General features: G+C 39.5%; 1 protein-coding gene across 14 annotated transcripts in view; it reads left to right on the top strand.

Annotated features, from left to right (window-relative positions):
* Window positions 1-15,623, top strand: part of ZNF345 (zinc finger protein 345) — a 42,854-nt gene that overhangs the window by 9,442 nt on the left and 17,789 nt on the right. For 2 of the 14 annotated variants that reach the window (XM_017026570.3, NM_001242476.2), the window contains exon 3: window positions 3,111-3,205. The exons of 10 other annotated variants lie outside the window; for them this stretch is intronic. The gene's annotated coding sequence lies outside the window, so the exon portion shown is untranslated. Of the gene's footprint in view, window positions 1-3,110; window positions 3,206-12,744; window positions 12,943-15,623 lie in introns of all 14 variants that reach the window. 2 more of the 14 variants (XM_017026572.3, XM_017026571.3) reach the window with 2 other exon arrangements.

The following is a 15,623-nucleotide window of genomic DNA, read 5'->3' on the forward strand; positions in this document are numbered from 1 at the left end:
TTACCTTTTGCCTATTTGCGTTATCATTCTCATATGAACTTGTTTTCTTCTCTCTCTCCCTCTCTCTCTCTGCACACACACACACACACACACAGACACACCCTACACACATTTTATCTGTACCATTTAAGACTAAGTTGCAGATTTTTTTGTTTGTTTGTTTGTTTTTTTGAGACAGTCTCGCTGGGTCGCCCAGGCTGGAGTGCAGGGGCGTGATCTCGGCTCACTGCAAGTGCCGCCTCCTGGGTACACTCCATTCTCCTGCCTCAGCCTCCCGAGTAGCTGGAACTACAGGCGCACGCCACCACACCCGGCTAATTTTTTGTATTTTTAGTAGAGATGGGGTTTCACCGTGTTAGCCAGAATGGTCTCAATCTCCTGACCTCGTGATCCGCCTGCCTTGGCCTCCCAAAGTGCTGGGATTACAGGCATGAGCCACCGCGTCCAGCTAAGTTGCAGATATTTTGCCCCTTTATTTCCTAACAACAAGATTATTCTCTTACATAACCCACAGTACAGTTATTAAAATTTTAACATTTATATGATACTCTAATCCATATTTAAAATTTTTGATTCATCCCAGTAATGTTCTTTATAACAAACCACCCTACCCTTTCTCCTCATCTATCCAGGATCCACTTTAAAATCACACTTTAAATTTACTAATTATGTCTCTCTAGTCTTCTTTAATCTGGAAGAGTTGCTCTCTCTTTGTCTTTCATGATCTTGGAATTTTTGAAGAGGAGAAGCCATTTATTTTGTAAAAAGTCCCTTAATTTGGGTTTGTCTTCTGGTTCTTCATGCTTACATTCAGGCTATGAATTTTGTGGCAGGAATACCATAAAGGTAATATTGTATCCTTCTTGCTGCATCATCTCAGGAGATACATGATTTTGATTTATTCCATTTCTGGAGATGTTAACTTTGATAATTTGTTAAGGGGATATCTACCATGTTTCTCCACTGTAATATTGACAGTTGTCTATTTGTAATTAATAGATAATTTGTGGAGATGTACTTTGTAACTGTGTAAATAACTACTCACCAAACTTTTCCCCACTAGTTTAACATCCATCCACTGATAATTATTCTTGGGTCTGTTATTAGTAAGATGTAATAGTAATAATGGGAGGGTTTTTTTTTTGTTTGATTTCTATCGCCATTATTTTGTCTGTATTAATTGGTTGGCATTCTACTATAAAGAAGAGCTTTCCCTTCTCTCCCACTTATTCGTTTATGTCAATATGAATTCATAGATGTTTACTTTCCTCAATGGGTTATAATCTGTTGTTATTTATTTTTATACTCAAGTTGTCCCAGATTTGGCCAGCAGGAACCCATTCTGGCTGGCTTCTGTGTTCCTTTGACTTGTCTCCATGATTCTTTGAGCATTTCCTTACTTCCTGGAATGATAAGATGTTCCAGGCTCATTCCTAAATACTGTCTTAGCTCCAGCCTGGAATGAATCATTTCTCTAAAGAGCTCTGGTTCCTTGCAATGTGAATATTTGGAAACCAATATCTAGGTGATGGGACTGCAGTGTTCATTCTTGTCACAACCTGTTCCATATTTATATCTTCCTTCTGTAGTAGTAAGAAACCTGGCTTCCATTATCCTCATTAGATTTACGAATTTGTTCAAGTCTAGAATTTATACATACAGAATGTGAGAATGCTAACCTATACTGTGGTAAAAATCAAGAATACTAAGTAGGGTTCAGTATTTGCTTATAGTTCTCTTTATCTTTTTATTTTTATTTATTTATTTATTTTTGAGACGGAGTCTCGCTCTATCACCAGGCTGAAGTGCAGTGGCGTGATCTCCGCTCACTGCAACCTCTGTCTCCTGGGTTCAAGTGATCCTCTTGCCTGAGCCTCCCAAGTAGCTGGGACTACAGGTGTGCACCACCACGCCCAGCAAATTTTTTGTATTTTTAGTAGAGACTGGTTTTCAGCATGTTGGCCAGGATGGTCTTGATCTCTTGAGCTTGCAATCCGCCAGCCTCAGCCTCCCAAAGTGCTGGGATTATAGGCATGAGCCACCATGCCCAGCCTTTTTTTTTTTTTTTTTCTTGAGATGGTGTCTTGCCCTGTCACCCAGGCTGCAGTGCAGTGGCATGACCTCGGCTCACTGTAACCTCTGCCTCCCTGTTCCAGTGATTCTTCTGCCTCAGCTTCCTGAGTAGCTGGAATTACAGGTGTCCACCACCACACCTGGCTAATTTTTGTATTTTTAGTAGAGACGGGGTTTCTCCATGTTGGTCAGGCTGGTCTCAAATTCCCGACCTCAGGTGATCTGCCCGCCTCAGCCTCCCAAAGTGCTGGGATTACAGGCATGAGCCACTGCACCCGGCCAACTTCTCTTTATCTTTGGACTGGGAGTACGTAATCAAAATATTGTGTTCTAATTTACTTGGATTTGGTTTTTTCCCCCATTAAAGTTGCTTTTGTTATTCATTTGAAATACATTTAAGTTTGTTAGTTCCTACCGTTTGGCCTTTTTTATTACTCTGTTCTTGGTGACTTGATTGTATGAGTATGTAAAAATATTAGCATGCTACCAAAAGTTAAAACTAGCTGGGTGTGGTGGCTCACACCTGTAATCCCAGCACTTTGGGAGGCTGAGGCAGGTGGATCACTTGAGGCCGGGAGTTCAAGACCAGCCTGGGCAACACAGGGAAACCCCGTCTCTACCAAAAAATACAAAAATTAGCCAGGAGTGGTGGTGCACACCTGTAGGCCCAGCCACTTGGGAAGCTGAAGCAGGAGAATCACTTGAACCTGGGAGGCAGAGGTTGCAGTGAGCCAAGATCATGCCACTGCATTCCAACCTGGGCGACAGAGTGAGACCCAGTCTCAAAAAAAAAAAAAAAAAAAAAAAAGTTAAAACTATGCAAAAAGGTAAAGTTAGAGCATCATCACTCTGCTCCCACAACCCTTGTTTTGGTGCGTGTTAATGGGCTCAATTGTGTCCCTTCCAAAATTCATATCTTGAAAGCCTAAACCCCAGCGCCTTAGAATGTGAATGTATTTGGAAACAGGGCCTTTAATTCAGTTAAAATGAGGCCATTAAGGTGAGTACTCATTCGACCTGACTCCTATCTTTATAAGGGAGGAAATTTGGACACACAGAGAGATGCCAAGGATACACACAGAGGAAAGACCATGTGAGTGCATAGCAAGAAAGTGACCATCTGCAAGCCAAGGTGAGAGGCCTCAGAAGAAACCAAACCCGCAATCAGCATAATCTTGGACTGATGTCCATAACTGTGAACAAACAAATTTCTGTTATTTAAACCATCCAGTCAGTGGTATTTTATTATGGCAGCCCTAGCAAACTAATACGGTGAGTTATTTCCTCCTGGGTCATACTATATACTTGTCTCTCTGGGTTATGCTGAGATTGGACCCTCATTATAGGTCTATAATGAGGATTGAGCATTTCCTTACTTCCTGGAATGAGAAGATGTTCCAGGCTCATTCCTAAATACTGTCTTAACAGACAACATTTCTGGTGGATCTTAAAGAGAATGAGCATGCCCTTTGCACTACTCCAGATGATGTTATCATAGGGTTTTCAACCAGAGGAAAACTAGTTTCTCAAATGCTGGATTGCAAGTTATTTCCACTAGTAAGAGAGATCCCCACAGTGATTTAGGAGTTCAAGATTGCCAGTTTCATCTGGGTCCCATCCGTATGTCCCAACTCCAAATTTCAGGTTCCTATTCTTTGCCATTCTTCTTTCACATGAAAAATGTGGCAAGACTGTGAATTCAACATTCATCATAATTCAGCAAGCTGAGCAGTTCTGTGTTTTTCAGCAATGTCAGCCCTTTGGCTACAAGAAAGGGGAGATTCTTTTAGGATTTTTATGGAAATGCTCTCATTCTCAGATTGTGACTTGAACTGAGAGTTAATAAACCTGGGCTTATCAGCTTCTCTTTATGCATTTAAGTTAACATAAGTTAATCCATCCCACACCGCAGTCCTTATATCATTACTGCCATAATGGTCAAGTACAGCAACTATTTAGCTCCCAAGGCATGTGCTTTAATTGACACTTCATTCCAATCAACCATGGCCTAATTAATTGTAACATTACTGCATGCCATTAATTTCTACCAACCCAAATCCCATTGGCATGGAACTCTGCACTGCAGTCAATCCCAAAGGATTAGCAAAAAGATACTAAAAGGCATGACCAAACTAATCCCAAAGTTCCATCTTTACAGGCCTTTCACTTGGAACGACATCAGTTACCAATTCTGTTGCAGTCAATATCTAATCAAGGAACAGAAAACACAGCAATTTGAACTAGGAAAGTTTAATATAAAAAATTATTAACCATCGTGGAACTAGAGTAACAAAGGATTGACCAGTAAGAAGTAAAGGAAACTCTAAAAACCATGGGAATTACAGCCATAAAGAGCAGCCATTGATCGGGCATGATGCCTCACATCTGTAATCCCAACACTTGGGGAAGCTGAGGTGGGAGGATAACTTAAAGCCAGGAATTTCAGACCAGATCCTGTCTCTACAAAAAGAAAAATAAAACAGCCAATTAGCCAGGTGTGGTGCATGTGCCTGTATTCCTAGCTACTTGGGAGGCTGAGGTGGGAGGATGGCTTCAGCCTAAGAGTTTGAGGCTGCAGTGAGCTATGATTGTGCCTGGGTACCTGGGTGACTCCAGCCTGGGTGACAGAGTGAGACCTTGTCTCTAAAAAATTTAAAAAAAAAATAATAAGAGCAGCCACTACTAATGGTAGAGAGTCCGAGGAAGACGCCCTCCCAGGGTTAACATCCAGCCCTTGTTGGAGAGTGCACATCCGTGGCTCATTGAATGACAGTAATTGCTGTGGTAAAGGGCTGGGACTAAGATGAGGCAAGTGAGACGGTGAGAAGCACTCACCGTCAGATGTAACTACACTTGGATGACCCTGAGACGGAATGCCTCAAATTTTGCACCCTGGGTTCCTCATTCTTAAGACAGTCATCGTCAGGGTTATACGTGCAGGGTTGGCATCTGAGAGTGAAAGCCTCAAGTTTTGTGCCATAAGTGCCTCACTTGCCTTAGCCATGTCCTGTTCCTGCTGTGGAACTTGCTGGAAATCTGTGCTCTAGAATTTGCCAGGAATCCATCCTGTGTGGCAGACTGGGTTGTCTTACCAGAAGCATTTGCTACAAAACTTTCAGACAAGGCTACTGGGTGCTGCTGGCCACTTTGTACTTTAAGAGCCGGGAGCTAGAGAAGCTGCTTGACTGAGGAAGCCTGGTAAAGTCACCCATGCTGCAGGAACTGGGTGCTCGGGAAACTGAATGTGCTGCAGGAGGTGGACCTGGATTCTGGAGCCGCCTGCCAGCAAGCATGCCAGAACCAGAAAGGAACGCCCCTTCCTCCTGCAGTGTCTTTCAGACATCCACTACTGGCAAAGCTTAACATTGTTCTGGCAAGGAAAAATATTTCTATAGCCCAGGTCTGCTTTTGCAGAGTGAAAAAATGGTGAATAAAGGGTGAATTTGGAACTTAGGGGCAATACATTGATAACTAGCACATAGTCTTCTAAGAGTTTTAAAGTTAATTTTTTAAAATGTAAGTCATTTATCTAAGACTGACTTTGCTGTGAGATAGGGATATAATACTTTTCAAAATTTTTATTTATTTATTTATTGATAGAGACAGAGTCTCACTCTGTCACACATGCTGGAGTGTAGTAGTTCGATCTCGGCTCACTGCAACCTCCACCTCCCAGGTTCACGTGATTCTCCTGCCTCAGTCTCCCGAGTAGCTGGGACTATAGATATGTGCCACCACGCCCAGCTACTTTTTGTATAGTACTTTTTTAAATGGATAGATGATTATATCTTTTGAATTTTTCCATATAGGCAATCATAAGATCTGCAAACATCACTTTTGTTTCTTGCTTTCTAGTACTTACATGTTTTATTTGCTACAGCCTTTACGGACATGCACATATTTGACGTGTCCCTTCCTGGTTTTTGTAGGTGCTGTTCATCAGAATGAGGAAATTACCTTCCACTCATAGCTTGTTCAAGTTTTGTGTTTCTTCTTACAGTAACTGGATGTTGGGTTTTATCAAATTCTCTGATTGTTGTAGACAATTGTGCATTTTTCTCTCTATTCTGTTAATATAATTAATTAACTGATTTTTCAGTGTTGAAGCAACCTTGTATTCCTTGGATAAAATCAACTTATTCATAAAGTTTGCTTTTTTAATTATTTTATTCAGTTTGCTAGAGTTTTATTTAGGGTGTGTGTGTGTGTTCATAAATTATATTAGCCCAAAATTATTCTCTCTTCATATTTAGTATTTTGTCTTATTTGGTATCATGGCTGTTAGACTACTTTCATCAGATAAACTGAAAAATGTTCTTTCTGTTTCTTTTTTCTTCTTTTCCCCTCAAAGTTTGAGGTTTTTCCTGAAATATTTTATATATTCAAATACATAAAATCTTTTTAGGTTAAGTGATAATACCCATATAACCACCATGAAGATTGGAAAAATACAACATTGCTAATACCACAAAGCCATCTGCCTGCCCAAACCAAATTAATCTCTTTCGCTCTCCACTGAAGTGTAACTATTAAGTAGATTTTGTAAAAATCATTCTCTGCTATTATAATTTTTTGCCAACTTTGTATAACTCCCTAAAGAATATTATACAGCTTTGCCTGCTTTTAAACTTATGTAAATTGAATAATAATATATGTGTTCTTTTAAGTTTTGTTTTGTTTTGTCTTTTTTGAGACAGTCTCACTCTGTTGCCCACGCTAGAGTGTAATGGCATAATCTCGTCTCACTGCAACCTCCACCTCCCGATTCAAGTGATTCTCCTGCCTCAGCCTCCCAAGTAGCTGGGATTACAGGCGTGCACCACCAAGCCTAGCTAATTTTTTGTATTTTTTAGTAGAGACGGGGTTTCACTGTGTTGGCCAGGCTGGTCTCAAACTCCTGACCTCAAGCGATCCACTTGCCTCGGCCTTCCAAAGTGCTAGTATTACAGGCGTGAGCCGCCGCACCTGGCCCATGTTGAATAGTTTAGATATATCTTGTTTATCTCCACTATTATTTAATAACCTTTATGACTATATCACAGTGTATTTTGTCCAACATATTTTTTATGTGGATAATTGGTGGTTTCCAGCATTTTACTCTTAATAAAACTGTTATGAACATTGTAGTGGATGTTTTACCTAGGAGTGGAATTGCTGGGTAATAGGGAATGTGCATGTGTTAGCCTAGATAACCAAACTCTTTCAAAGTGGTTGTATGAAAAAGTGGTCTACTTCCAACAGTGTATATTTGCCGCCGCCTTTGCCACGTTTTTCCCACATCTTTACCAACATTTGGAATAGTCACACTTTTTACCTACCTAGTATACTTAGTAATATCTAATTATGGTGTTAATTTGTATGACCATGACTACTGATGAAACAGAACATCTTTTCATTTGTATTATCTTTTATCTCCTTTTCTCATTTTTTCCCCAAGATTTGTTCTTTTAGGCAAAATTCACATGAGATACACTTAACCATTTTAAAGTGTATAATTCAGTGGTATTTAGTATAAATTCAGTGGTATTTGCTGTATTCACAATATTGTGCAACTATTGATTCTCTCTAGTTTTAAACCTTTTTCATCTGCCTCTAGAAATACCCTGTACCCAATTGAAGCACAAACTTTTAACTTGGATGAATTTAAATTGATGTATTCTTTTCTTTCATTGCTTGTGCTTTAGGTGTTAAATTTAAGAATTAATTGCCAAATCTGAGGTCATGAAGAATTAGAAATTCTGTTTTTTTGAAAGAATTTTATGATTTAGCACTTCTGTTTAGGTTGTTGATCCATCTTGAGCTCACATTTTATATTTGCATGTGTTTATCCAGTTGTCCCAATACCATTTGTTGAAGAGACATTTCTTTCTCCATTCAGTGGACTTACTATCCTTCTGGGAAATCTATTAGTCATAGATGTTTGGGTTTATTTCTGGATTTTCAGTTTTATTCCATTAGTTTACAAGTCTGTTCTTAGGCCAGTCCTATTGATTACTGTAGCTTTGTAGTAGTAAGTTTTACAATTGTAAGAAGAGAGTCCTACCTTTTCATTTTCAATACACATTGCAGTTCCATATGGATTTTGGGTACCAATTGCAGTTCCATATGGATATGAGGAGTGGCTTTTTTTTTTTTTTTTTTGAGTCAGAGTCTTGCTGTGTCGCCCAGGCTAGAGTGCAGTGGTGAAATCTCTGCTCACTGCAACCTCTGCTTCCTGCGTTCCAAAAATTCTCCTGCCTCAGGCTCCCGAGTAGCTGGGATTACAGGTGCGTGCCACCACGCCCAGCTAATTTTTTTTACTTTTAGTAGAGACAGGGTTTTACCACATTGGCCAAGCTAGTCTCAAACTCCTGACCTTGTGATCCACCCGCCTTGGCCTCCCAAAGTGCTGGGATTACAGGCGTGAGCCACCGCGCCCGGCCTTGAGTTCACATTTTATATTTGCATGTGTTTATCCAGTTGTCTCAATACCATTTTTTGAAGAGACATTTCTTTCTCCATTCAGTGGACTTAACTGGCCTTCTGGGAAATCTATTAGTCATAGATGTTTGGGTTTATTTCTGGATTTTCAGTTTTATTCCATTAGTTTACAAGGCTGTTCTTAGGCCAGTCCTTTTGATTACTGTAGCTTTATAATAGTAAGTTTTACAATTGGAAGAAGTGAGTCCTACTTTTTCATTTTCAATACACATTACAGTTCCATATGATTTTGGGTACCCATTGCAGTTCCACATGGATATGAGGAGTGGCTTTTTTTTTTTTTTTGAGATGGAGTCTTGCTCTGTTGCCCAGGCTGGAGTGCAGTGGTGGAGCTCGGCTCACTGCAACCTCCGCTTCCTGGGTTCTAACAATTCTCCTGCCTCAGGCTCCCGAGTAGCTGGGATTACAGGTGCGTGCCACCACGCCCAGCTAATTTTTTTACTTTTAGTAGAGACAGGGTTTCACCATGTTGGCCAAGCTAGTCTCAAACTCCTGACCTCGTGATCCACCCGCCTCAGCCTCCCAAACTGCTGGGATTACCGCCCCGCCTGGCTTTTCATTTCAAAGGCCACTGAAGTGTTAATAGAGATTGTATTGAATCTGCAGATTATTTTAGCGAGTATTGCCATCTTCATGTTAAGTCTTCTAATCCATGAACATGGGATTTTAATCTATTTAATCTCCAACTGATGTACTGCAATTCAGTTCTGGTACTAGCTGCCCAGAGTTAGTGTCAGACTCCATAGGTTTTAGCATACAGTCCCCAGTAAATCTGCCCTTACTTTAGGCCAACTAGCTACAATTCCAGGAAGTTCCCATGACTCCCTCCCCCTCCCCCCTTCATTTAGTAATTTACTACAACTCACAGAATTCAGGAAAGCACTACACTTAAAATTATAGTTTTATTATGAAAGATAAGGATACAAATTAGGAACAGCACAGTAAAGAGACACATAGAGCAAGGTCTGAAAGGGACCTATACACAGTTTCTATGCCCTTTCCTGGTGAAAGCAGGGTGTGTCACCCTCCAAACACATTGATATGTTCACCAGTAAGGAAGCCCCACTGAACTTTGGGGTGGAATTTCATTATGTAGGCATGATTGATTAATCATTGGCCACATGACTGAACTCAGTCTCCAGCCCCACTTTCTTCCTCAGAGACTGGCTAGCTAAAAGTATTTTTGATGACTGCCCCAATTCTGAAGCTACTCGGGTCCACCATGAGTTACCTCATTAGCATAAACTCAGGTGTGATCCATAGCAAAGACATGTCTAGCTCTGTGCTAGGAACCCTAGGACAAAGACCTGACAAATTATTACACAGGGCATAAACAAGACCAGGAGTGAATATGGCAGTGTTTTCTTATTTATTTAGTGGTTTCTTTTCTCTTGGATCATTTAGCTTTTTTTTTTTTTTTGAGACTGAGTCTTGCTCTGTCGCCCCGGCTGGAATGCAGTAGCGTGATCTCGGCTCACTGCAAGCTCTACCTCCTGGGTTCAAGCAGTTCTCCTGCCTCAGCATCCCAAGTAGCTGGGATTACAGGCACATGCCACCACGCCTGGTGTGCCACCATGCCTGACTAACTGTTTTGTATTTTTAATAGAGACAGGGTTTCACCATGTGGGCCAGGCTGGTTTCGAACTCCTGACCTCAAGTGAGCCGCCCACCTTGGCCTCCCAAAGTGCTGGGATTACAGACTTGAGCCACTGCACCCAGCCCATTTAGTTTTTTATTAATGATTTGAGAAAGATCTTATATTTTACCTGCTAGTTCTTTGACAGTTAAATGTTTTGTAAATATCATCACCCATTCTGTGGCTTGCGTCTTTTTAACAGATTTTATTCATAAGTGAGCTGTGAATCACGCTTATATTTTTACGCAACTTTGTTTTCCATTTAATTACTATTACCTTTTTGTCCATATATTTATCACTAATTTATATTCAAAATCTACTGGAAAATAAATCTTTTTCCAGTATGTTCTGTCAGTTTCTTGGGTTTAGAGACATCTCTTCTATGATCCTTTTTTTCTCTACTGACTGCTTGTACCACTATTACTCTAGAATTCTATCTTTTTAAATTCACTGCCCTTCTGCGTTGAGTTCTTTGTTTCTTGGATTCCTTGCCTTCCTGTTTCTTGGTTTGGTTCTTCTTGATATTGGTGGCATGTGAGAAAGGATGAATGAGAATTAAATTTTGTGAGTTCTGGTATATTTTTCAACCACTATATTGATTCTTTGGCAGGGCATGGAATTCTACATTAAAAATATTTTTCCTCAGAATTTTAAAATTATGATCTCTGTCTTATAGTATTGTTTAGAACTCCAAAGCCATTTTCATTCCTGGTCTTTGGTTTATACCCTGTCTTTGCATATTGGAGCCTTTTAGGGTATTTTCTTTGTTCCCAGTGTCCTAGAACCTAATAAAAATATATGTAAATGTAAATCATCTTTTTTTTATACTACATACCAAGTGGACCCATTAAATATGGAGACTCATTTCTTTCAGGTCTGGGAAGTTGCCCTTAATGCTACTTTTTAGAACAATCTGTATTTTCTGTTTTCTTTGAAAAATTTCAAACATAGAGAAAAAAAGATTATTCCAGTGAATTCTGAATACCCATTTTCTTCCTCTGTTTGGGCCACTGTAACAAAGTACCATAAACTAGTTATCTTATAAACAAAAGAAACTTATTTCTCACAGTTGTGGAGGCTGGAAAGTACATGATCAAGATGTTGGCAGATTCAGTGTCTGGTAAGGACCTGCTTTCTGCTTCATAGTTGGCACCTTCTCTCTTTGTCCTCACATAGTAAAAAGGGAAAGGCAGTCCTCTGGGTACTCTTTTTTAAGGACATTAATTACATTCATGAGGGCTCTGCCCTCATGACCTAATCACCTCCCAAAGGCCCCACCTCCTTACCCCATTACATTGATAACTAAAGTTCAACATTTCATTTGGGGGTTGGGAGGACACAAACATTCAGACTCTATCATCCATCACCCAAATTCTTCAGTTGTTGCCATTTTGCCACATTTCCTTTATCTTTATTAATACACACACATACACTTTTTTTTGTGAGTCATTTGAAAATATGTTGGGGACATCTTCACATTTTACCATTAATAATTTTAACATATATCTCCTTAGTATTAATGATATATCTCCAACCTAAGGAAATTAAAATAGACTTAATAATATTCTTAAGCATTTTATATTTAGACAGCTCCAGTAGTCTTCAAGCTCTCTTTATTTAGCTGCTATTGTGTTTGTTTGTTTGTTTTACTTGGGTATGTGTTTGCCTGATCTAGGATCCAGTCAAGATTTATATATTGATTTGGTCATTGGATCTCTTTAGTCTCTTTTAATCTGGAGCAGTCTCTCATTTTTTGTTTTATATGACTTTGAATTTTTTTGGTTTTTTTGAGATGGAGTTTCACTCTTGTTGCCCAGGCTGGAGTGCAATGGTACGATCTTGTCTTACCACAACCTCCGCCTCCTGGGTACAAGCGATTCTCCTGCCTCAGCCTCCCTAGTAGCTGGGATTACAGGCATGTGCCACTGCACCCGGCTAATTTTGTATTTTTAGTAGAGACGGGGTTTCTCCATGTTGGTCAGGCTGGTCTCAAATTCCCGACCTCAGGTGATCTGCCCAACTTGGCCTCCCAAAGTGCTGGGATTACAGGCATGAGTCACCATGCCCGGCCCTGTTTTATATGACATTGAATTTTTTTGAGAATCCAGGACAATTATTTTATAGAATGTCACATAACCTTTATTTGTCTCATGGCTTTCTCATGTATAGGAAGCTTAGATTCAGGTTAAATATATTTGGCAAGCATACCACATAGGTGGTATGATGGTACATCTTTTATTGTATTACATTGGGAGGAACATATTGTCAGGTTGCTCTACTACTGTTGATGCCAAGTGCTGTATGGATGTTTGTCCCCTCCGAATCTTATGTTGAAATTTTCCCCCCATTGTTGGAGGTGGGGCCTAATGGCAGGTGTTTCAGTTATGGGGATGGATCCCTGATGAACAGATTAATGCCCTCCCTGGGGGGCAGTGGGTGAGTGAGTTCTTGCTCTTATTACTTCCCAAAAGAGCTGGTTGTTAAAAAGAACCTAGCACCTCTCTCGACCCTCTCTTTTGCTTCCTCTCTCTCCACATAATCTCTGCACATCCCAGCTCCTCTTCACCTTCTGCTAGTGGAAGCAGCCTGAAACCTTCATCAGAAGAAGCTGTTGGTGCCATGCATCTTGTACAGCCTGCAGAACTGTGAGCCAAATAAACCTCTTTTCTTTATAAGTTACCCACTCTTAGATATGTCTTCATAGCAACACAAGTAGACTAAGGCATCAAGTTTTACCACTTAAGATTAAGGTGGTGAGTACCAAATCTTTCTATTAAACAGGTATATATTTTTCCCTTTATAATTAATAAATAATCTGTAGAGTGATACTGTGAGATCAAGTGAATATCCTTTTCCGCAGCACAATTCATTATCCAGCTTTAGAATCCATTGAGGATCCTGAATCTTTTATCCTATTGACGATTTTTAAATGGTGATTTTCAGGTTCCTCCGTTTCTTCTAGCACACTTTGTAGATTCTTAGCAAACTTCTAAAAATGATTTCTTCTCAGTAGACGTTGGACTTTGTTGCTTGATCTCCCATATTTTCCTATTTTCCATTTCTGTATCTTTTTTGTATGGGTTTTAAAGATATTTTATTATTTACTTTTGAATGATTTGTTTTTATTCCAACTTTATATTTTCATTTTCTATGAATACTTTTTTCACTTAATATTTCTTTCATATTATTCTATTCTTGTATCATGTGGAGTAGCTTCTCATATCCTTATGAGAATATACGTTGTGACTTTTGAGGTTTTCTTTGTTCTCCTATATAGTCTGTCTTCTGAGTTGCTTTGGTTGCTTTGTTTACTGTCTTTTATCTTACAGGCTTTTCTCAAATATCTAATATTTGCCTATTTTTTGTTTCTGTTGTTTTTGTATATATTTAAGATATACAACATGAGGTTTTGATACATATTATGAAATGGTGACTGTAGTCAAGCAAATTAACATGTTCATCATCTCACATAGTTACACTTTTTGTGTGTGTGTGGCAAGAGCACCTAAAAATCTACTCTCATCAAAAATCTCAAATACAATACAATGTCATTAACTATAGTCCTCATGTTGTACATTGGATCTCTAGACTTATTCATTCTACATGTCTGAAACTTTGTATCCTTTGACCTGCATCTCCCCATTTTCTCCCTGACAGTCCCTGGTAACTACCATTCTGTATGCTATTTCTGTACTTTTTTTTTTTTTTTACATTCTACATATAAGTGAGATCATGCAGTATTTCTCTTCGTCTCCCTTATTTCACGTAGCATAACGTCCTCCAGTTTCATGTCTGTTTTGTCAAATGGCAGGATCTCTTTCTTTTCAATGGTGAATAATATTCATTTATATATATCACAATTTCTTCATCTGTTCATCCATCAGTGGGCACATAGGTTATTTTCATGTCTTGGCTATTGTGAATAATACTGCTTTGAACATGTGAGTGCACATATCTTCATGAGGTAGTGATCTATTTGTAATTTAGAGTGGGCCCTAAGAAGCTGTATGCTATATATTTTGTATGTTGATTGTTAGACTTTTATGGGTACTTAGTTCCCTCCACTTCTTAAGTTTTTCTGGGGTTCTGCAGCATAAACCGTACACTTTTTTATACACAAAAAGTGTAACTATGTGTGGGCTTTCCTTACTTTTAGTTAAGATTATATCTTTTTTGATTGGTCATTGTTTATCTTACACTTTCAACTTAAAATGTTGGCTGGGCATGGTGGCTCATGCCTGTTATCCCAGCACTTTGGGAGGCCAAGGCAGGTGGATCACTTGAGGTCAAGAGTTCGAGACCAGCCTGGCCAATATGGTGAAACCCCACCTCTACTGAAAATACAAAAATCAGCCAGGTGTGGTGGTGGGCACCTGCAATCCCAGCTGTTTGGGAGGCTGAGGCAGGAGGACCACTTGAACCTGGGAGGCAGAGGTTGCAGTGAGCTGAGATTGTGCCATTGCACTCCAGTCTGGGTGACACGAGTGAAACTCCACTAAAAAAAAAAAAAGGGGGGTGGGGTGCCAGGCCTGGTGACTCATGCCTGTAATCCTAGCACTTTGGGAGGCTGAGGTCGGGAGTTCAAGACCAGCCTGACCAACATAGAGAAACCCTGTATTACTAAAAATACAAAATTAGCCAGGCGTGGTGGCACATGCCTGTAATCCCAGGTACTGAGGAGGCTGAGGCAGGAGAATCACTTGAACCCGGGAGGCGGAGGTTGCAGCGATCTGAGATCATGCCATTGCACTCCAGCTTAGGCAACAAGAGCGAAACTCCATCTCAAAATAAATAAATAAATAAGCTGAAAATGTTTTGTTGCTGCAGCTTCCTCTTTAATTTCCTTTTATGTGGTGGTTTTGTTCTGTTTTACAAATTCCTTTTCATTCCTTTTAGTGAGGTTTTGGAAAGCGTACGGGGATAAATGCACGTGATCCACTTGAGCTTTTTCAGAGAAATTATGTTGTATGGCTAGAGAAATCTAGTTTTTAGATGTTTATTTGTAAGGATAATACATTTTGCAAATAATTTATTATATTATTCAATAAATGCATTTAGGTTTTTTTTGCATGTACCAGAGTTCAAGTTGATTAAATTAATAGATATTATCTTTGTCTTCATGAAGCTTGGCTCTATTGTAGCAGACAGAGGTTAAACAAGCATTCAAACAAATATGAAAAATTTAACTGTAGGGAATGGATACGTAAATTACCTATTATCAAAACAAAACACAAAGAAAAGAGGAAAAAAGAGCTCTGAGAAATGATAGTAGAGTGTGCATAATTCAGACTGAACATGTAGGAAATATTTTAAAGATACATCATTTAGCAGAGACCTAAACCACTGCCAGAAACTTGCAAGGCCAAGAGTAGGGGCAGTGGATATAGGGGGACATTTCAGGCAGATGAAACCATGATGGGGATGGGTCGGTACA

Source organism: Homo sapiens, chromosome 19 (genome assembly GCF_000001405.40).
Source record: "Homo sapiens chromosome 19, GRCh38.p14 Primary Assembly".
NCBI classification, from domain to species: domain Eukaryota; kingdom Metazoa; phylum Chordata; class Mammalia; order Primates; family Hominidae; genus Homo; species Homo sapiens.